Below are 22765 nucleotides of genomic sequence, written 5' to 3' on the forward strand. Positions count from 1 at the left end.
CCGGTAGATTCCATCTCAAGAAACCACTTTCTTTGCATATCCATAAGAAGTTTGATCATGCAACTGCAGCAATTCAGTCACATCTTCAGGCTTCACTTCTAATTCTAGTTCTCTTGCTATTTCTACCAGATCTACAGTTACTTCCTCCACTGAAGTACTGAACCCCTCAAAGTCATTCAAGAGAGTTGGAATAAACTTCCTCCAAGCTTCTGTTTAATGTTTATATTTTGGCCTCCTCCCATGAATGATGAATGTTCTTAATGGCATCTAGAATGGTGAATCCTTTCCAGGTTTTCAATTTACTTTGCCAAAGAGGAATCACTATCTATGGCAGCTATAGCCTTACAAAATATACATTTATTCTTAAACAATAAGAGTTGAAAGTCTAAATTACTCCTTAATCCACAGGCTACAGAATAGATGTGTTAACAGGCATAAAAATGGCATTAATGTCCTTGTAAATGCCATCAGAGTTCATGGGTAACCACATACATTGTCAATGAGTGGTATTATTTTGAAAGAAATCTTTTCTTTCTGAGCAATAGGTCTCAAAAGCGGGCTTACAATATTCAGCAAACCATGCTTTAAACAGATGTGGTATCATGTGGGCTTGAAAACAGTGGGCTTTGTAAACAGTGGGCTTACAATATTCAGTAAACCATGCTATAAGTGGGCCTACAAACAGTGGACTTTACAATAACCATAACATATATAATAATAATGGAAAGGTTTAAAAAATTGTGACTCAACAAAATAAAAAAAAAACAAACTTCAGGCCAATATCGTTGATGAACATAGACACAAAAATCCCCAAGAAAACACCAGTAAACCATATCCAGCAGCTTATCAAAAAGCTAATTCACCACAATTAAGCAGGTTATTTATCCTTGGGATGCAAAAGTGGCTCGACATGCATGTCAATAAATGTGATTCCTCTTATAAATGCAACTGAAAACAAAAAACACATGATTATCTCAATACATGCAGAAAAGGCTTTCAATATAATTCAACATCCCTTCATGTTAAAAACCCTCAACAAACTAGACATTGAAGAAACATACTTCAAAATAATAAGACCCATCTATGACAAACCCACAGCCAACATCATACTGAATGGGCAAAAGCTGGAAGCATTCTCCTGGAAAACCAGAACAAGAACAGGATGTCCTCTCTCACTACTCATATTCAACATAGTACTGGAAGTCATAGACAAGCAATTAGGCAAGAAAAAGGAATGAAAGACAACCAAATAGAAAAAGATGAAGTCAAAACTATCCCTGTTGCAGACTATATAATTCTATATCTAGAAAACCCTGTAGCATCTGCCCAAAAGCTCCTTGAACTGACAAACAACTTGAGCAAAGTTTCAGGACACAAAATCAATGTACAAAAATCAGTATCATTCCTATATACAAACAACATCCAAGCTGAGAGCCAAATCAAGAATGCAATCCAATTCACAGTAGCCACAAAAAAGAATAAAATACCAAGGAATACAGCTAACCAGAGAGGTGAAGGATCTCTACAGTAAGAATTACAAAACACTGCTCAAAGAAATCAGAGATGACACAGAAAAACATTCCATGCTCATAGTTAGGAAGAACCAATATTGTTAAAATGGCCATACTGCCAAAAGCAATTTAGAGATTCAATGCTATTCCTATCAAACTACCAACGACATTATTCACAGAATTAGAAAAAAACTATTTTAAAATTGGTGTGGAACCAAAAAAGAGCCTGAATAGCCACAGCAATCCTAAGCAAAAAGAACACGTCTGGAGGCACCATGTTCCCTGACTTTATACTACAAGGCTATGGTAACCAAAACAGCATTATACTGGTAGAAAAAAGACACACAGACAAATGGAACAGCATAGAGAGCCCAGAAATAATGACACACACCTACAACAATCTAATCTTCAACAAAGTCAACAAAAACAAGCAATGGGAAAAAAGACTCCCTATTCAATAAATGGTGCTGGTTAGCCACATGCAGAAGATTGAAACTGGATCCCTTCCTTACACCATCTATAAAAATCAATTCGAGATAAATTAAAGACTTAAATATAAAACCTAAAACTATAAAAATATTGAAAGATAACCTAAGAAATACTATTTTGGACATAGGACCTGGCAAAGATTTCATGACAAAGATAAAAGCAATTGCAACAAAAACAAAAATTGACAAATAGGACCTCATTAAAGAGCTTCTAAACACAGCAAAAGAAACTACTGACAGAGTAAACAGACAGTCTACAAAATGAGAGAAAATATTTGCAAACTATGCATCTGACAAAGGTCTAATATCCAGAATCTATAAGGAACTTAAACAAATCGACAAGCAAAAAGCAAACAATCCCATTAAAAAGTGGGCAAAGGATATGAACAGACACTTCTCAAAAGAAGAAATATACATGGTCAACAAGTATATGAAAAATGCTCAACATCACTAATCATTAGAGAATGCAAAGAAAAACGACAATGAGATATCATCTCAGCCCAGTCAGAATGACTATTATTTAAAAAAAAATAAACAACAGGTGTTGGTGAGGCTGCAGACAAAGGGGAATGCTTCTACACCACTGATGGGAATGTAAATTAGTTCAGCCATTGGGAAAAGCAGTGTGGTGATTTCTCAAAAGACTCAAAGCAGAACTATCATTCAACCCAGCAATCCCATTGTTGGGTATATACCCTAAGAAATGTAAGTCATTCTACCCTACAGACAAACAGACATGTAAGTTCATCACAGCACTATTCACAATAGCAAAGACATGGAATCAACCTAAATACCCACTGATGGTAAACTAGATAAAGAAAATGTGATACATATACACCATGGAATACTACCTAGTCATAAAAAGAATAGATACTATCCTTTGCAGCAACATGGATGGAGGTAGAGGCCATTATACCAAGTGAACAAACAAAGGAACAGAAAACCAAATACTACATGTTCTCACTTATAAGTGGGAGATAACCACTGAGTACATATGAACATTAAGAAGAGAACAGACACCAGGGCCTACTTGAGGGTGGAAGGGAGGAGAAGGGTGAAGATTGAAAAACTACCTTGTATCAGGCGCTATGCTCATTACTTGGGTGGCAAAATATTCTGTACAGCAAACCCCCACAACATGCAATTTACCTATATAACAAACCGCACATGTACCCCGAGCCTAAAATAAAAGTTCAACAACAAAAAAAGCTGAAGGTAACATTTAGAAAAAAAAAAAAGTTGTGAGAGTTACCAAAATATGACACAGAGACATGAAATTAGCACATGCTATTGAAAAAAATGGGACCAACAGACTGGCCCGATGTAAGGTTGCCACAAATCTTCAATTTGTAAAACATACAATATCTCAGAAGCATAATAAAGCAAAGCACAATAAAATGAGGTATGCTTGTAAACAACCACAAGTTACAAAAAGGAGGGAAAACCGAACATAGTACATTATGTAGCTCTATTGCAAATGTTCACACAGTAATGATAGTGTTATATAAATATATTGGAAGGATGGGAAGAGAAAAAAACAGAAAATGATGGAAGGGAGGAAAAATACTAAATTATTTTCTTTCATAGTAGAAAGGCATTATGTAATTAAAATTTAAAAGTCAGGAAATGGCAGTGAGAAATTTGTGTGGGGGTAATACAAAGGTAAATGAAAGAGAAAATACAATAACAAAAAAGTTGAAAACAGCTGTCTCTGTGGAGAAGACTAAAAATGGAGAGAGAGGTATCTACTCTTCACTTTAAACATAACTTTGACTTTTTAAACTATGTACACTTACTACTTTTAAAAACACTTTTAATTACTTGAATGAAGTAAAACTACATGAAGCAATGCTGATGACATCTCAAAAAATGTTGGGAAGAAAATGAAAACTGCAGAATGTTCACTATTGATGCCATTTATACCAAGTTCAAATACAGAAAACCAACAAAAAGAGGGAAGTGTGGACTCTGAAGTTAAGCAAACTGGAACACCTCTACTTACTAGTAATGACATCATGGGTAAATGAAAGCTCTTAGCGACAGCTTTCTCGTGCAAAATACAGATAACAATACCTGTATGATTATGTTGTTTTGTAAATTAAATGATATAACACACACGAAGTACCTGGTTCATAGTACATGCTTGATAATGTGTTATTATTAATTTTCTTTTTCTCCACTTTTCAACTTTTCTATGATGAATATGTAAATTTAATTCAAAAATGTTTTTCTAAAATGTTAAGACGTTCCTTGAATTAGGAAGTTACATCCATTCTTTGTTCTAATATTTGGTGTTAAAGGAATAGCTCAGCCTCAATTACACCTCCTTTGTGCTGATCTCACACACAAATAAACAATGGACCAAGACCAATATGTAAAGAAGTATCAGTTTGAAGAAGTGCCCTGATCTCCTCCTCTACTTTTATTCATTCTACAGATTATTGGCCGTTCATTAGGTTTCAAGGGATGGTATGAGAAGGTATGGGGACTATAAAGATGCAAAATGCATGGTGTCTATGCTCAAAGAGCTTACTGTAATCAGGAGAGGGAAGCAGAGAGGAAACAGGCAAATGCTGCCATGACATGACATGGCTTTGAAGTTAGGCAGTCTGGGGTTCCAATCCTGTAACTGTGTTTTGGGGAAAATTTCTTAATATCTAAGTTCCAGTTTCCTATGTAAAAATCTGAAGAACAGAAATTGCTTTGGAAGGTTGCCTAACAGCCACGATAACATCCTTAAAGCAACTATCATGTGACTTACAGTATGTGCTCAATATTTGGTAACTCTTGGTCCTATTAAAATTATTGCAGGAGATACCTTCTAAAATGAAAAATTCAGGGGAAAGTCTTTGTGCAAGTGTATTTTACTCTGTAAAACATTCACAAAAACGCACAAATAAATGCTATGCAGATTCATAGGGAGAGAATCTACTTTCAGATAAGAGAAACCAAGGGATATTTTTAGTGGAGACACTGGCATTTTAAATACCATCTTCCACAAATCTTAAGACACATTTTCATGTTTTAACATCTCTGAAGCTGGGTGTATCTGGCAATGATGGTGTGTCAGTTTAACTGGCAACATTTTTTCTTAGTGGTACATAAATTAATAACACATCTTAGATTCAGTGAAGTAGAGTCCATAGGGATGAAGAGAATTCTGTAGAATGGCAATAGCAAAGGCACACAATACTGGGCGTGAATGTTAGCACATATAGTTCAGGTTGGCTGGCATGTCATTGTACACAAAGAGGAGTTAGGAAGCAAGACTGAAAAGGCAGACTGTTCCATTAGTTGTTTTTTTACCCCATGTCTCGTGATCACACTATTTTAATTTACCATTCCTGTATGGTAAATCTTGGTATTTGGTAAGATTAATCAGCTTTAGTGTTCTTCAAAATTATTTGGCTCTTCTTGCTATTCCTTCCCATGTCAATTTCAAATCAGATTGGCAAATATTGTAAAAAGAACATGCTACTTGGGATTTTGATTGGGACTGTATTGAACTTAATGGATTAATTTTGGGGGACTTTCTATTCAATCACAGAAATTACAGAATAGAAACTATAGAACAGAAATTCCTGTTTTCCCATCCAAAAGCATAACACTGATCTCCATTTATTTAGATCCTATATCTTTCAACAAAGTTGTATAATTTTTTTCCATAAAGGTCTTATGTATCTTTTGTTGGATCTATTCCTTGGTATTTTGGGGGTTGTTATTGCAAATAATGTTTGAATTACATCCTGTAAATTGATGGCATATTAAGCAATTTAAAGTATATACGGTGATTCAATTAATGCTAATGTTTAATCTTGTTTTCTGCATGTTGATATACATCACAATTTAAAAATTAACAAAAATATTTCCATGATATACAGAATATTAAAACTGCAGAAGTGGAAACAAAGAAGTTCATACCACATATGCAACGCCATCTAAAATAATTAAAGAACAGATTTAAATTGTCCTGGAAAGAACATAGCATCCAAAACCTACACTCATGTATATTATACAATACATATAAAATGTTGAGCTATTAAATATTGGACTAGTTCCATTTCTGCAACTGTGAAATAAATGATATGAGTGGCAATGATATCAAAACAATTATTGTCACCCACCTTATTGATTATATTCTGTCAACTCTCAACTGCTCACACCAACAGAGAGAAACACTGATACATGCAACAAAAAAACTACAAATAGTTCACCTAGCTGAGTTGGAGGCATGCTAAAAAGTTAGGCATCCTCTAAGTTTGTAAGTATTCAGAACAGCCAGGTCATCACGTGCTCTGCTTTTCCTTAAAACAACTTCACTGATCCTACAAGACAGCTGGTAGCAGAGAATTGAAATTACTGGCAGGAGAAATGAATCTCAAACAGTTGCCTTAAGTGTGAAATAGGCTCTACACAGGCATTTATTTTTCCAAAAGTTCTTTAACCTAAGTTCTAAATTCTCCTTATTCTCTTTACCCTTTCTTAGAGGAATATTAACAAACTTAAAAAATGAAAATAATGAAGTGAGTTTGGGACCAGTATGCTAACTTCCAAATTACCATGATCTGAGTTCCAGATCTCAAGACATCCAACTGCGTACTAGACATTCCTAACCAAGTGTTCTCCGACATCTCAAATGAGACATGTTTACTACTGAAGTCCTCCCATTCCCAAAACTATGTCCTCTTTCCATTAATACCTATGTCAAGGACTAGCAGTTTAAGCCAGAAACCCAGCAGTCAGTCTTGAGTACTGCAAAAAACATTCTGAACCCAATGCACAATTAATCATCAAGACTTGCTGGCTGACTCTACTTCCTTAATACCCTCTCTCCTCTCACTATCACTGCCCTCAGTTCAGGTGGTCATCATTTCTTTCCTGTACTATTGCAGTAATTCCTTTAATTTGTCTATCTCCATCCTCTACAGAATGATCAGAATAATAATTCAAAAATGTAAATGGATGTTACTCTTCTATTCAAAATTATTTAATGCCTCCCCAATGCTTAAAGGATAAAAGCCAAAATTGTTAACATAGCAACGAAAAAGCTTTTTTTTTTTTTGGAGACAGTTTCGCTTTTGTTGCCCAGGCTGGAGTGCAATGGCGCGATCTTGGCTCACCGCAAGCTCCACCTCCCAGGTTCAATCAATTCTCCTGCCTCAGCCTCCCAAGTAGCTGGGATTACAGGCACACACCACCACGCCCAGCTAATTTTGTATTTTTAGTAGAGATAGGGTTTCTCCATGTTAGTCAGTCTGGTCTCGAACTCCTGACCTCAGGTGATTCACCTGCCTCAGTGTCCCAAAGTGCTAGGATTACAGGCATGAGCCACCATGCCTGGCCCCCCAAAAGCTTTTATAGTCTGTATCTCTAGTCAGCCTCATGGTCCACAGTCCGTTCTTCCTGATCTTTCTCTCTAAATGTCCACCAGAACTTTGCATATACTGCTCCCTCAACCTAAAATCCCTTCTTTATTTTCTATTTTCCACCTGGAAATATTCTTCAAATCTTTATAAACTAGCTGAGGGATCATGACCTCACAAAAAACCTCTGAACTCCCAAGAAGACTTAAGCAATGCTCGAAGTGTCTTTTCAATCATGCCTTATTACATAGCACTTAGAACATCACATTTTAATTCTCCATTAATGTCTTTCTCCTCCTAAATAATATTTAATTGGGAAATACCAAGACTTAGCATGGTGTCAGTATTTATTAGACACTGTAAAAATATCTTGTTGAGGCCGGGCGTGGTGGCTTACGCCTGTAATCCCAGCACATTGGGAGGACGAGGCGGGTGGATCACGAGGTCAGGAGATCCTAGCTAACATGGTGAAACCCCATCTCTACTAAAAAATACAAAAAATTAGCAGGGCATGCTGGCGGGTGCCTGTAGTCCAAGCTACTGGGGAGGCTGAGGCAGAATGGCGTGAACCCGGGAGGCGGAGCTTATAGTGAGCTGAGATCACGCCACTGCACTCCAGCCTGGGCAACAGAGCAAGACTCTGTCTCAAAAAAAAAACAAAAAAAAAAAAACAAAAAAAAACTTGTTGAATAGAAACAGTATTCCTATATTAGTTTCTTATTAGTCTGAAAATATGGTTATTGCTCATACTTTAAATATTTCTTGGTAGGAATCATTACATCTTACAATAAGGATTTCTCATTATAAAGTGAAATATTGTAATACTAATAAGTTATTTTAGAAAATTGAAATATTTTACACTAATTTTAGTGGCCTATTCACAAGAAACTACTGAAAGCTTTCACATCTAAAACAAAGTGTGAAAACTGTGAATTCCATTAAGTGAAAGACATTTTCAAATATGGGGACATGTGTAATTTTATTCCTAGAAAATAATATTGGAATACTTCTGTTTCCTCTATAATTTCCCTAAGTCTCTACCTGACTCTGAGCACAAAACTTTTAGGGGATCATATACAATTTCCAAAACAAAAATACAGCTTCAAAATTGTAAGTCTAAAATGAAGATTATATGCTTAAGTAACTTCTCCAAATAAACCAGACTTGCTTGCTAAATCACGGTATATTTTATAATCAAAAGATGAAACACCATAAAAAGCAAACAGGTATTTGCTGTTAAGTCATTAATTTTACCACTGCAGAAATTATTTAAGAACATTATTAATAACGAGGATCTCACTCAGAAGTAATGTATTTTGGCCAGGCGTGGTGGTTCATGCCTGTAATCCCATTACTTTGGGAGGCCGAGGTGGGTTGATCACTTGAGGTCACAAATTCAAGACCAACCTGGCCAACGTGGTGAAACCCCATCTCTACTAAAAACACAAAAATCAGCCAGGCATGGTGGCACATGCCTGTAATTCCAGCTACTTGGGAGGCTGAAGCACAAGAATCCATTGAACCCAGGAGGCGGAGGCTGCAGTGAGGCGAGATCATACCACTGCACTCCAGCCTGGGAGACAGAGCGAGACTCTTGTCTCACAAAAAAAAAAAAAAAAAAAAAAAGGAGAAGTAATGTATTTCAATCATTAAGATAAAAAAATTCAAAGCAGACATGATATTAAAAAAACTGATTGTCAAATCTATACTTATTTCTAACATAAGCATTCAAAGAAAGAAAACTACATATCAACAGTATTTTGAAAAGATACACTATATATATGGTATATATATATTCTTACTGAATATATATATATTCAGAACATATATATATATATACTGAAAAAAAAAAATATATATATATACACTTACTGACAGTAGTGTTCAAAATACAGGCTCTAACCCAAAAAAGGATGAATTCTTCTTATTTTATTGTCTGAAGTGTATACTTTTTGTAATTCCTAATAGCTGTAGGCTCCCAAAAAATACTTTGTGCTTTATCATCTAAGCTAATATTAACATTATTCAGTGATTCTCAATCATTATAAATATTTTTATGAATTTTTGAGGAGAACTGTCTAGGTTCAGAAGTTTATATCCCAACAGAGGCTTTTAAACTTCATCTTACAATGCCAAGCAAAGAATAAAAATCTCAAACTGAAGAAATCAAATTTAACTCTCTCTCTCTTCTCTTGACATTTGTATCCATCCATATTCTTCCTCCATAAACCACTGAAAGCAAACTGCATAAAGGTAAGTCTTTACTCTGAACTTGGCTAGAAGTGATAAGAAAACTCATCAAGACAACAAATATAAAAACAAGTTAAAAAAACAAAAAAATACAAATCTAAGCCATTATTAGTCATAAGCAAGTCTATTTCTGCAATAAACCTTGTTACAGAATGACTTACTTCATATCCACAGTTGTTCTTTAAAGCCATCTACTAATGTTACTACATTCAGCCTATATTTAAAACAAAAACACCTATGTTAGGTCTTCATTTTTAAATTTAAGAGTCTACTTTTACAGATAAGGTGTCAATTTACTTTTGTTCTTAACAGTATTTATATTCCTAAAAAAGACACATTTTGGTTAGTAGTTATTTAGAGTGACATTACTTTAACACAATGCAGCAACAACAAAAAATATTTATATAAGAGTACACTTTTTTAACTCTGAAGGATATATTATTTACTGAAACTTTACACAATTCGATTCCTAGTAAAATTTTAAAATATTTTTCAGTCAAGAAAATATTTTCAATTAACATTAATTTGTGATATTTTACTACAAGAAAAAATATTTAAGAACTTTCTCCCAAATTCATATACTTTTCCAAATTTTGAAATATAGTAAATTTTTAATATTTTTTAAATATAAAAAATAACATTGAGCATTTAATTCTCATATATTCTAAGCACATTACATGTATATTAACACACTTAATCCTCATAGTATTCTTATAACATAAATACTGTTATAATCCCCATTTTACTGAAGGGCTAGGGAATTAAGTAAATTGTTCAAGGAGACAAAGTAGAGGAGCTAAGAATTGAACCCAGACGGTCTGCTCCAGAGTCCATACTTTTTACTATATTATTATACAGACTCCTGCCTGCCAAGCACTATCCTTAAGACTTGAAATTGACAGATCAAACAAACAAATCAGTTACTGTTTTCAAAGAGTTCACAACTATCAACACACACACACAATCAACAAACCTTCTAGTAATAAGAGATCTTCCAGTAATACAATCCAATTGCTAATAGAGCTCAAACCAGCATGATTAATTCTTAAAGTAACACTTCACAAATTTGGCCTGTGCCTCAGGTCTCAAAAGGTAGGAAAGGGAAAGAGAAAGGAAAAAAGTAAGGCTTAAGGTCAACTGGAACAAGACTATAAAGTTCTAGCGAGTGACATTCTAAGGAATTTAGATTCGACTGTGTAGCACACAGTAGATAGCCATTAAAGAATCTTTAAAATGACCAGCCAAGTGTTCTAGTAGGAAAATTAAACAAAACCAAAAAAAAAAAAAAAAACCTTTCAGTGCTAGTAAGAATAGGGTGGAACAGGGAAGAGATTGGAGACAATAACATTAGTAATTCAATTAGTCAACATTACACAATAAGCTCTCTGGAATAGATGAGGAAGACTGAAATAAGAGAGTTGTGAGGAGAAAAGAAAGAATAAAGTTATTTCCAAAGCTTAGACACTAAATTTTTAGGAGAAAGACAAGAGATAGGGAAGAATCAAGGCTGAATCTCAAGTTTCTGGATTAGAACACTAGGAAGAAGTGATGACATTAAGTGGATAAGGAAAAAGCAAGAGGAGTCAAGGGGAATCAGGATATGATTCATGATTTGAAACAATGTAATACAGCTGACACTACAAGTCTTCATTTTCATATAAAAAATCAGTGACTTTGTTATGAAATATAAAATGCCAATTTAGTTTCTTAAACTTGTTTCTTTCGGCCTTATTTATAACTATTTTCTTGCTAATAATACATCTAATACTAAGTACTGAATGATTTATGTTTAGAAAGTACAACCTAAAATAAAAAAATCAACCTCCCTAAAACCCAAAAGCACTGATTTATTTACTGTACATTATTAATGTATGAGGGTTAAGACTTTGATGCAGCTGTAGCCTCACTTTGATGTCAGGAATGGAGAGAAGTACCAGTTGCCTTCTATATCTAGTCTTAAAGAACACACATTTTTAATATCTTCGAAACCATGAAATGTCATTTCATATTTATTTTTTTGCTTTGCTCTGAGAAAATAAGTAGCTTTATTAATATCTGTATTAAATCTATCATTAAAATATCTTTTAAAATGAAAACTTCATTTACTAATACATACTTCGACAGTATCCATTTCAAACAAAATAACACATTCAATATGACAAAAATCAAAATTCTAAAAATTACATATTAATAACAAAAATGGTAATTTTTGTTTTTAATATACCTAATTCCATTGTTGCTCAATTAGATAATATACTTTTTTCATTCAAATTGATATTAAAGGAAAATAAAAAGTATTTTATTATCTTAAATATTAAATTTAGCATCATTTTCTGAAATAATAAACCTAGCATGCATAGGTAACAATATATAAATCACCTAACCTTCTTCAATTGGATAATCTCCACTTAAAGCAAATAATCATATTTAATAACTCCATAAATAAACAGGGTTTATTCTTAACACAGGATTAAGACCATTCACCTCTTTTAAAGGAAAACTTATAATTCAGTAGTATATAGCAAAGTTAGAAACTTAAACAGTAAAGGTAATAAAAGTGAGTCATTTTATAATCTACAACAGTAAAGGCATTCTGGTGAATTTTATGAGAAGTACAGTCTTTAGACATAAGACCTTATTGTGACAAAATTATGTAATATATAGAACCTCAGTAATTAAGGAATTTAATTAACAATTGTTGCTGAATTTGCAAATTAATATACTTCAGGTTGACCAAGAGATGGTGCTCAATCTCCATATATATAGGAATAAATATCCCAAAAGCATTACCAGTAAAATAAAATTATTTTCAGACTATGTGGCAATTTAAAGACTCAAACATCAAAAATCCAATGCATAAACATCACATTAACTGTTTATTCTGTGCAGAGGGAAATAATTTTGGATACCTTCAACGAGAATTTTAAGAATCATACTGACTGATCATCTATACAAGACTGCTAAAATTGTTTTTTAAATGTTTCTGAAACATTGCTTTCAAAATTAGCATTCAGTACTACAAAAAACATTAAGCAACTCAGAAATAAACTTCAAAAAAAGTTTATTCATAACAAATTAAGAAATAATTTTAAGTCATTTATTCCAACTTAACTCATGCTTTAGAATTCTTACTGAATAAGCATTTAACATTCTATTCCTTTGGTAGAAATACAGTTTTTACAACAAACAAAAAACCTAAAATATTCAGCAAAATCAGAATCCATATATCTTCAAAAATTTACAGTTTATGGCATTATATTCTCCATTTATAAAAATGGCATATGACCCAACTGACTGAATTCTAAATGTAAGCTACAGTCACCAAAAGCAATGCAATTACTTCTGAACAGAATGATGATAAAGCAATTACTCCTGAATTGCCACAAATACCCATGTAGGGCTTATATTATACAATTTTAATTTACTATTATATAACTAATTTGTTTTTCTTTTTAGGGAGCAAGAAACATAAAGTACCCTAGAAATTCTAGAAAGTACAGCTCCATATGATATACAATGCCCCAACAATAACTTTTTGTCTATTTAAGTTATAGTCTTCTTGCTACTTCTTACTACTATGTGAACAAGACACACAGAATTTGGCTTCCAAACATCTAAATAAAACAGAAAGCACTGAGAAAAATCGTTTTTGTATAAAATCTGTGCATAGAGAAAGTTATTTCTTTCTACTCCACCAGTCAAAGAAGATCAATAAATCAAGACAATCATAGATTTAAACTAAAATCTAAACAAAACTTCAGTAGGCTTTAAATTTTACTGAAAGCATCTAAAGCCCTAAGTTTTTCTTTATAAAAATTAAATTCCACTAACTTGCCTAATGATGCTAAGGAGAAATCAACAAAAATTCAGTCTGAGAGATGGGAAACAATGTTGTAACTGTAAAAAAATATAAATCTTTTTTTTAATAGCAAAGTTCTTGATCAACACAAAACACAGTTCATCCTTTGATATAGTAATATACTATCTTCCTCATACAGAATATTAAATAAAAGTATCAAAGTCTTATAATTCCTAATTCAATTTAATTTTTAAATCCATGTTTGTTTATTCACTATTCTTAACCATTAATCAAAAACCTAATTTAGTGTATACATATTTTCAAAATAAAACAAAAAATAAAAACCTAACATGTCAGCATTTAAAATATATTTATTCTTGCAGTTTTTAAAATGAGCCTTTTTTCCATATCCACATTAAAAGTATAGCACACTGATTTAAATAATATTATTTACTTTCAGTTTCATATATAGTGCCAGCATTTAATGTATTAGGAGAGTATAACACTTTTTCCTCTATTACCTAGCTGCCAATATGGATACCTCATTTTAACATGAGTACATATCTGAACAAAAAAGCCCCAAATGTTTACTGCTATTTTAAAAAACAGTCTGATTTATAACAGCTTTTTAAATTATTTAAAATTGTTAAAAATCTGTCAAGATTCTATCAAGTTTGTTTTTCTTTTAAACAAATGGCAGAGTTGGACCTTTATACCTTTATGACATACATACAGGATAAATTCCCAATCTGCACCTAGTTTAAAGCGTTAGGGCAGATCCCTCTCTTCTATTTCCAAATTAAACCTGAGGTTCTCACCCACCCATCTCCCTACCTCAAGATACCATTAAAGTATATTTTGTACATACATAGTACAGTTTTCAAACTACGTTTTCATATCAACACAAGCAAGTTTACATTACACAAATATGTACTAAAAAACAAAGACACACTAGTTTATAGATATAGAAAAGTACTTAAATCACAATCTAAAAGTTATTGAATAAGGAAAGAAAAGAAAACAGGAGGGCTAATTTCTATATAATCCTTCAATTTTAGATAAAGATATATTTTTCCAGAAAAGCTCCCTGGCGTTTTACTTTCCAATAAATTGCTATAATGAATACCTATACTTCAAAATGCAAAAAATAATAAAAATTAAAATTAAAAAAAAAAAAGGCCAGCCTGCCCCTGTTCATGATTGGCTGCTTGTCCAGTAATGCCTGGGTCCCTAGGTAAGTTATCCACTCTGCAGGAGCTGATTGAAGCAGTGCATGTGAAATTCGGAAGGCTCCAGAAGGAACTAAATAGCGTGGACACAATAACACGACAAAATGTCAGTCGAGAATCTGAAAAAAAGGGTAGATGCCATGGAAAAATCATTAGATATTTCTTCCCAGAACATCTAAAATGATGGGTAAATAAAGCTCAATGTCCAAATCTAGATCCTACATTTAAATGCTTCAGAAAATTAATTTCTTAAAGTTTAAAAGGAGTATGTCCATTCTTACGGACAATTCTTGTTACAATTTTCAGTTTATAAAATTTTAAAAACCAGAAATAGATAATCATATATCAGCAGTTCACTTAAGATTTTTGTTAACATTTTAGAATAATCACTGCTTATACAAATGAATTAGTATTTATATCTCTGACTCGAAAACTTTTAGAAACTTAAAAAGTAAAATAATTTTCAAAAGTTTTACTCATTGATACTAAAGAACTCCATTTACTTGATTAAAAAATATAGCATCGAGGAAAAAAATATGTATCTATCCTTCAATATTCAACTATGTCAAAGATCTAAAATGGAAGATTCTTTCTACAGAGAGACACTCAAACTTTTTCTACTTCTATATTTAGTTCAAAGTGGCCCAATTTAGAAACAAATAACATTTATTATTTTTTCCTCATATTCAATTTTTGGAATTGTTGAACAAATGCTTCCAGAAATAAATATAATAGTTGTAATTAAATGGTTGAATCAAATTATCTATGGTATTGTTTGGATAACTGTTTAAAACTAATGACTATAAAAGATCTTCTTTTTTATATTACTTATCTCCACATGAAGATTTTCTACTGGAAAGTTTAACCATGTTTTATATACAGAAGAAATAGTTTTATTTCACTATTGTAGCAATTTAAGAAAACCTGGAGGGCAGCTTCTAGACCTAAAAATTATTCATTAGTATGAAATAACTCACTTAGCTTTTCTCATTCACCCACAAATAAAAAGGTAACAAAGAAAAAGGAAAAAATAAAGATATATATTTTTATTACCTTGCATCTATATAATGAAGGTCTATATGCAATTGTGTTATATATGTAAGAGTAAAGTTCTGTTAGTTCCAAAAAACTGATGACTCAAAATGATTTAGAATGAAAGATCATAGTAAAATAAAATGAATATTAAAGAATATGTCTGTATATATATATTTAAAGTCTAAAATAGTAGTTTAAAATGCAGTCTATAATTAGATCACAGAGAATAAAATATAGTATACATATACATGTACACAATAAAAAGTAACAGACCTACTGAAGTTTCATTTTGTAAAATCAAATTGATTCATGATGTGATTACTATAGCATTTTAATTATAGCTTCTTACTGCATTTTTTATGCCTCTGAGCATATGAAAATGTACAAAAACACTCAGAGATCTCTGAATTTATTATTCCTGCCACTTATTAATTCAGTGGACTTTGGTGCTCAGTTTTCTATTACCAAGTCTTAAGATAGAGGGGACACATATGTATATAGATGAATTAAGTGATAAAAACCTAAGATGAATTCAAGAGCTTTAAAAATGCATAATAAAAAGAAGTTTTAAAAACAATGCAGATCATTTTTTCATAGAGAACTGTTGGCATCATTTGAATTCCAAAACGATGTTAGGTCAGTAATTTTACTAAATTTATTTTTACATATATTTACAACAGCTTATCTATACTGCAAGATTCTTACATCTTTCTCACACAGCACTTGCAGCTACATTTCTAATGGGGAAAAAAAGTAAATATTATGCTAACTGCCATATAGTTGAATGCAACAAAAATGAACTGTGGTTAACTTCTAGGGCAGTTGTTTGTTTTAAATTGCAGTACCATAGGTCTAATCTCAAGAAAAAAGACAAACACTGGACAAATAACACTTATTCTTGGATGGAATGTGAGTGATAAAATTTTAACATTCCTGGAAAATGTATATCAGTCATTGGTATAAATGATGTGTATTAATAACTATCCACCAAGAGACAGGATTTTTCCATTTAGGACAACCATCAAAAATTTAGAATCCAAAAAAGTTCAGCACATTAATCCCAAGAATGATAATTTCTATAAATTTTATAGATGCCTATCATACCAATAAATGCCTATTATGATTTTTAACTCTGATAACAATGAAATCCAGATATGTCTCATTCTTAATGGGAGATATATGTATTGATAAGCTATAACAGGATAACTAATTTTAAGAATACCTCCTAGTAGGACAGGCAATCCAACCATTTCTCATGTCGTGATTGGAATATGACATTTCTGTGCGCCAACCCATCATATGTCTTTCTGAAAAACATGCCACAAATGTGGACCAATCAATAAAGTAATTGGTCAAGGCTACTTTTTCTGAAAATACATATGTCATCCAATGCAACTAAATTGATATATCCAAGGATAAACAAAGTTTACACTAAAATCAAGACAAAGATAGTGTAATGACTATCCCAAGTAAATATAAAGTCATCACTAGTCAAAAATACTTCCATGAATACACCAACATATTGTAACTGAAGAACAATTTCTTTCCAAAAAAAAGGGTGGGAGGGTTCACCTCCAGTTTATGGAATGAGTGCTTCAAACAAAATCCCAAAATAAAAGAAATACATATTGCTTCCTAATTCTACAGAGTTATATCTTTACCTAGAAGCCTCTCTAAATGAGTCTTTAGCTTAAGGAAATAATCACTTTTAAGAATTAGCCTATCATTGCCTAGGGTTGAGAGAAATCTTAGAAAATTAAGAGATACTTACAAGACATAATTCTACAAACAAAGACTGAAAAATTTCTTCTAACCAAACAACTGTAATTAAGATAATTTTCCTCTTCAAACCCTTAACCTAATTGAACTGTTAATTTTACTATATTTAAATAACGTTTTAAGGAATGAAATGTTTTCTATTTTCTTAAATATTTCAATATAAAATGTTCAGCCACTGACAGTTATCCTTTATGTATACACTAATAGTTTTTCAATAATGTAATCTATGAAATTTACATATAGATACGCCTCATTTTCTAAAGAAAAACCTATGTTGAAATACAAATCAGTAATAATTCATAGTTCAAAATCATTTTTTGTTTATAAAAAAGAAAAGCCTTATAATTAAAGCCAAAAAGTCACAAATAATGAATATGTAATTCAATACAGAAAGGCAATTTACGTTCACTTCCTAAGTAGAGTACCTAACACATAAACCTGCAAACACTCACATTTTAAGAAAACTGGACATGAAATTATATAGTTTCACCATTACATTTAAGCCCTTGGTCTAAATCTAGTTTGTGTTCACAACAAACATTACAAAATGCTTAACTTTTAATATACTCTTCCCAAAGTTCAAAAAAATCATAAGACTTGTATATATATAAAAATGTTTCAAAATATAGTGCCTCTACTAACTCTTAATTAGTGAGTATAGGGCACAAGTAACAGCTGTATAGTAAACCACAATGTATGACGAAAAACAGGCTGTAAAATGCATATATTACCACCACAAATGTTAACTTAATGAGCTACCAGAACAAATTTCTAGTCTCAGTTCAATTCCCCTTGACCAGATAACTTCCTCCAAAACACACAGGCATAAACACACACACACACACACACACACACACACACACATACCCACACACAAGCAACACTACTTATTCCCCTTTTTCATATGTTGGTCTTCCAATTTAAGACTACAGGCAAATAAAGACAAGTCAAACTATTCTCTTTCACTGTGGAAATAATTCTGAATTTAAAAGGGATGACTTTGCTGAACTACCACATACAACATATGTATTCTGAAGACTTTATTTTTCACTTCAACTAGAGGCTTCTCCCATTTAAAACAAAGTTTTAAAGTGGAAGTATTTTAACTACAGCAAAATTTTCGGAGTTTGGTCCAGGTATTCTTACCTGTGGTCTGTCCAAGTATCTGCAAAGGTCAAAAATATTTTAATAATAATTTAATACTAACACATTATTTGCCTTTTCCACTCTCATTCTCTTAGTAACAGTGGAATTTTTCAGAGACTACATGACCTGTGATAACATCATCATTCTGATGACTAATAGAATGTATGCTTGTATATTCAAACTTTCTCATTTTGAATTTCAAGTGAAAAAAAATTCAATAGATATAACAACGTAACAAAATCTCTCTGGCATCTCAAATAACTTTTAAGAGTATAATGGGTCCACAGACCAGAGCTTGAGAATCAGTGAACTAGTGGAAATCAAATACAGCTTTTTACTGGGAGTGGGGTTATCTTATACCATGTTCCTTCCTACTAATTTACCTTTCACAGCCCAAAGACATGTGTCTCCACCCATTTTAATTTTATTACACTTTTAAATTCAAAACAAATAATCTATGATGGGCATTAAACACTTTGATAGTTGTTTTAAATAAATTCGCAGCAGCCAAAATTTCTATGAAAATTTTTATCTACTACCGTATAATTCTTTAAATCTGCTTTTCTTCAAGTAACAGCATTCTAGAAAAAGTATTTTAATCTTAATTTGAATCACTGGTATGCTTCAGAAATCATATGCCAATATTACTTCATTTTAATATTCAGTAATTCAACCCAGAAGGTTTATTCAACATTTATGAATTAACCAAATAACATAATTATCATTTATAATTATCATGAAAAGTTTCCTGAATTCCAAAATTCCTGAATAAACTTGAATGATATAATCACTTTCAGTGAAGATTTCCCCTACTTAAATGAAACTAAGATTAGTAAAAAAACAAATAGATACACCTATCTGCTTTAATTTTGTATTTAAAAATAAATACACCTATTTGCTTTAATTTTGTATTTAAAAATAAATACACCTATCTGCAAGCCCTTTGGGTTGCCAAAAACAAAAATAAACTGAAATGAAATTCAGAAAAAGAGAATCTCTTACAATTATCAATACAAGAAAGAAAATGCCTAGGCACCAAGAAACCTCTTTCTCTCTCTCCCTCATTTGGTATTTCTACCCTCATAATCAATATTCCTTTTCTGTTACCTCATATTTCAGCCTTGTACATACTTGATTAAAAACTAAAAACTATTTCCCTACCTACGGAAAGGAAGACCTCTTCCTTGTCCTTCTCTATAATAAAATAAGCATAAAACTTTTCCATAAGGGACCAATACTCTACTGTATGTCTACAATAAAACTTTTGTATTAGAAACTGACTCCATTTCTCAATTTCTAATTCTTAAAAGAAGAATCTAGGGAAAGGTAAACTTTTTGAGCTTCTATTTCTCCATATGAAAAATGAGGATATAAGACCTACCTCATAAAGCTGTCATAAATCAACAAGTCTGACCCTAATAGAAAAGAGAGGAAAGAGAACTTATGTGCAGGAAAAAGTAAGTGTATATGGCGTGTTCAGAAAACCACATATGGATTTGGTTAACATAGAGTTGGTTAGTAAGGACATAGTAGAAGTCAGGTTTGCTACCACATGTTCTCACATATAGCTGAATGATGAGAACACACAGACACATGGTTCTCACAGACACATTGGGGGGATCAACACACACTGGGGCCCACTGGAGGTGGGTGGTAGGGAAAGCATCAGGGAAGAATAGCTAATGGATGCTGGACTTAATAACTAGGTGATGAGATTATCTGTGCAGCACACCACCATGACATAGGTTTACCTAAGTAACAAACCTGCACATCCTGCACATGTACTCTGGAACTGAAAAGTTGAAGGGGGAAAAAAAAAGAAGTGAGGATTGCTAAGCAGAAGTGAGGCCAAGAGAGACACTGTCAACTATACTAAAGAGTGTGGCATCTCCAACCTGTATGAGAGGAAAACTCACTGAAGGGCTTTAACCAAGAATGGGAACACAGAAGAAGAATATAGTGACAGAGGAGGATAGCTAAGACTACAAGTTCAGTCCAATTGAGTTTTGGGCATGCTCAGTTTGAACTGAAAATAAAGAGAAGACTAAGAAAACTAACTGCTCAACAATCTCAGCAAAAAGGCAGTAAAGTCAGAACACTGTTAGGTAGTCCTTTGAAACTGTTTTGAACAATCTGAACAGAAAGAAACATCCATCCGTTTTATCACTCCACCCCTGAAAATAACAGTTTCATAAAACAATGTTTACCCTTATTGTATGATACATCCTGATAGCTTCTTTTCCTTTTTAAAAAAATGCCAGTTTGGATCTCATAAATTTATATCAAAACCCATTAGTAGAGTCAGATTAATACTGATCTAGGATACTGTTGTAGTAATCTGAGTAGATCCCCAATATCCAAGGGCTGTTACATTTGGATTTTTAATCTTATCCACACCTGTTTACATAAATGGAAGAATACATGAATTGCATATTTTTAGGAGATCTTTTTTACTTTGGCAGTAAATTTTATACATTTTCTTGAAAAAACATATGTGTACTTACTGATATTATAATTCTACTTTTTAGATATATGGGGGAAAATACACTTCCAACTGCCTCAAGTAGGCCTAAAGACTTAATCAATGATGCTGTGAATGAGAAACGCTGGTGATTATGCATTTAATACAAATTACTAAAGGATATAGGTCTCCAAGAGCAACTTTTTAGCACACTGTAGTCTAAAACAACATTATATTCAATAATTTGCTACACAGATAGTAGTAGTTAAGAATATGAATTTTGATGCCATACTACCCGGTTTCTAACCTTGTACCTGAAATATACTAGCTGTCATCTCCCTGAGCTTCAAGCTTCTTCATCTGGAAAATGGAGTAACTACCTTACAGAGATAGTGTGAGAATTAAACTAGACAAAATATTTAAAGTGTTTTTAAAAGGATCAGGTTCAAATGTTAACTATTATTATAATTTATCTTTGATAAATTGTTTTCTAGCTTCTTTGAAGTAAAGGTGTATTTCTTCACTCTGTGGTTTGTCAAGTATTCTATCATCTTCAGTATAAAAGACAGGGGATAGCATTTTTCCATCATTGTGTCCACAGAACACAGAGTCATATTTTAACTTGGGTACAATTTGCAGGTCTTATATAAAAAGAAACTGAACCTTCATATTCTCTCTCTTCACTAATTAATTATCACTTGTGAGCACATTAAAAAAAGTCCAGGGTTATCTCTAAATATTGATTGACACTAGCAATTACTCCATACTATTAAATGTACTAATTTACTTTATTGATTATGCCTCTCTTAATCCCTCCCATTTATTGGTTCTTACACTTCCTCTCTTTTTTATGATATACATTATCTTTAGGTATCCATCATGAAACCCAAAAAGTAATAGTCTGAAATCATCAGGTCAAGTACCCCTATACCTCTCACTTCTCCCTCAGTGTATCAATGTGTGTAACGCAGGACCTGTTACTGGTATTTATGGTGATGAATGTGAGTCACCAAGAAAAGGTTGTATTATATTGATATATATTCTCCTTAAGAAGACATTTTTGAAAAACTGTTTTAAAAAAGAGAAAAAGCTTTAAATTTAAGTTAGTGACCTTTAGTTATCCAGTCTAGGATGTTAACTCTTTTGAGTATATGTAAAATCTTGTTTTATTTATTTATTTTTTGAGACAGGGTCTCACTCCGTCACCCAGGCTGGAGTGCAGTGGTTGCAATCATAGCTTCCTGCAGCTTCAAACTCTTAAGACTCAAGGAATTCTCCTGCCTCAGCTTCCCGAGTAGTTGGGACTACTGGCATGTGTCGCCATAGCCACCTAATTTTTTAATTTTTTTGTAGACACAGGGTCTCACTATATTGCCCTGGGTAGTCTTGAACTCCTGGCCTCAAGCAATCCTCCCACCTTGGCCTCTCAAAGTGCTGGGATTATAGGTGTGAGACACTGCACCCAGCCATATTTTTTTTTGTTGTATACCATATCAATCTCTGATTTTGTTTAACATATATATTGCTATTACTGATAGTTGATCTTTGCACAAAGGTACTTTGCTGCTATGAATGACAGGATGTTCTTTTGTATGAGAGAGCCTGTACAACAAATTACCCTTCATCTTGACCCATTAACATAGCTTTAAAATAAGACAGCTAAAGAAAAAATTGCTTTTTTTGAGATACATTGTTATAAAACAT

General features: G+C 32.5%; 1 protein-coding gene across 11 annotated transcripts in view, besides 1 other annotated feature; it reads right to left on the reverse strand.

Moving 5' to 3' along the window:
- The window catches only part of FBXL17 (F-box and leucine rich repeat protein 17), a 523064-nt gene that overhangs the window by 426044 nt on the left and 74255 nt on the right, over nucleotides 1-22765 (reverse strand). For 2 of the 11 annotated variants that reach the window (XR_427717.4, XR_007058627.1), the window contains 2 exons: nucleotides 16898-16982; nucleotides 12657-14759 (listed from right to left, as the gene is read on the reverse strand). The exons of 8 other annotated variants lie outside the window; for them this stretch is intronic. Coding sequence is in view for 1 of the 3 variants with exons in the window: in XM_005272050.5 (XP_005272107.1) it covers nucleotides 14748-14759 (12 nt within the window). In the remaining 2 variants the exon portion in view is untranslated. Of the gene's footprint in view, nucleotides 1-12656; nucleotides 14760-16897; nucleotides 16983-22765 lie in introns of those variants that run through there. One more of the 11 variants, XM_005272050.5, reaches the window with a different exon arrangement.
- Nucleotides 18097-18297: a silencer, noted in NCBI's record as "peak5404 fragment used in MPRA reporter construct". NCBI's record gives its function as "represses an SCP1 promoter by STARR-seq MPRAs in K562 erythroleukemia cells {active_cell/tissue: K562}" and the evidence as "EXISTENCE:reporter gene assay evidence [ECO:0000049][PMID:32103011]".

The sequence above is a fragment of the Homo sapiens genome, chromosome 5, assembly GCF_000001405.40.
Source record: "Homo sapiens chromosome 5, GRCh38.p14 Primary Assembly".
In the NCBI taxonomy this organism is placed as follows: domain Eukaryota; kingdom Metazoa; phylum Chordata; class Mammalia; order Primates; family Hominidae; genus Homo; species Homo sapiens.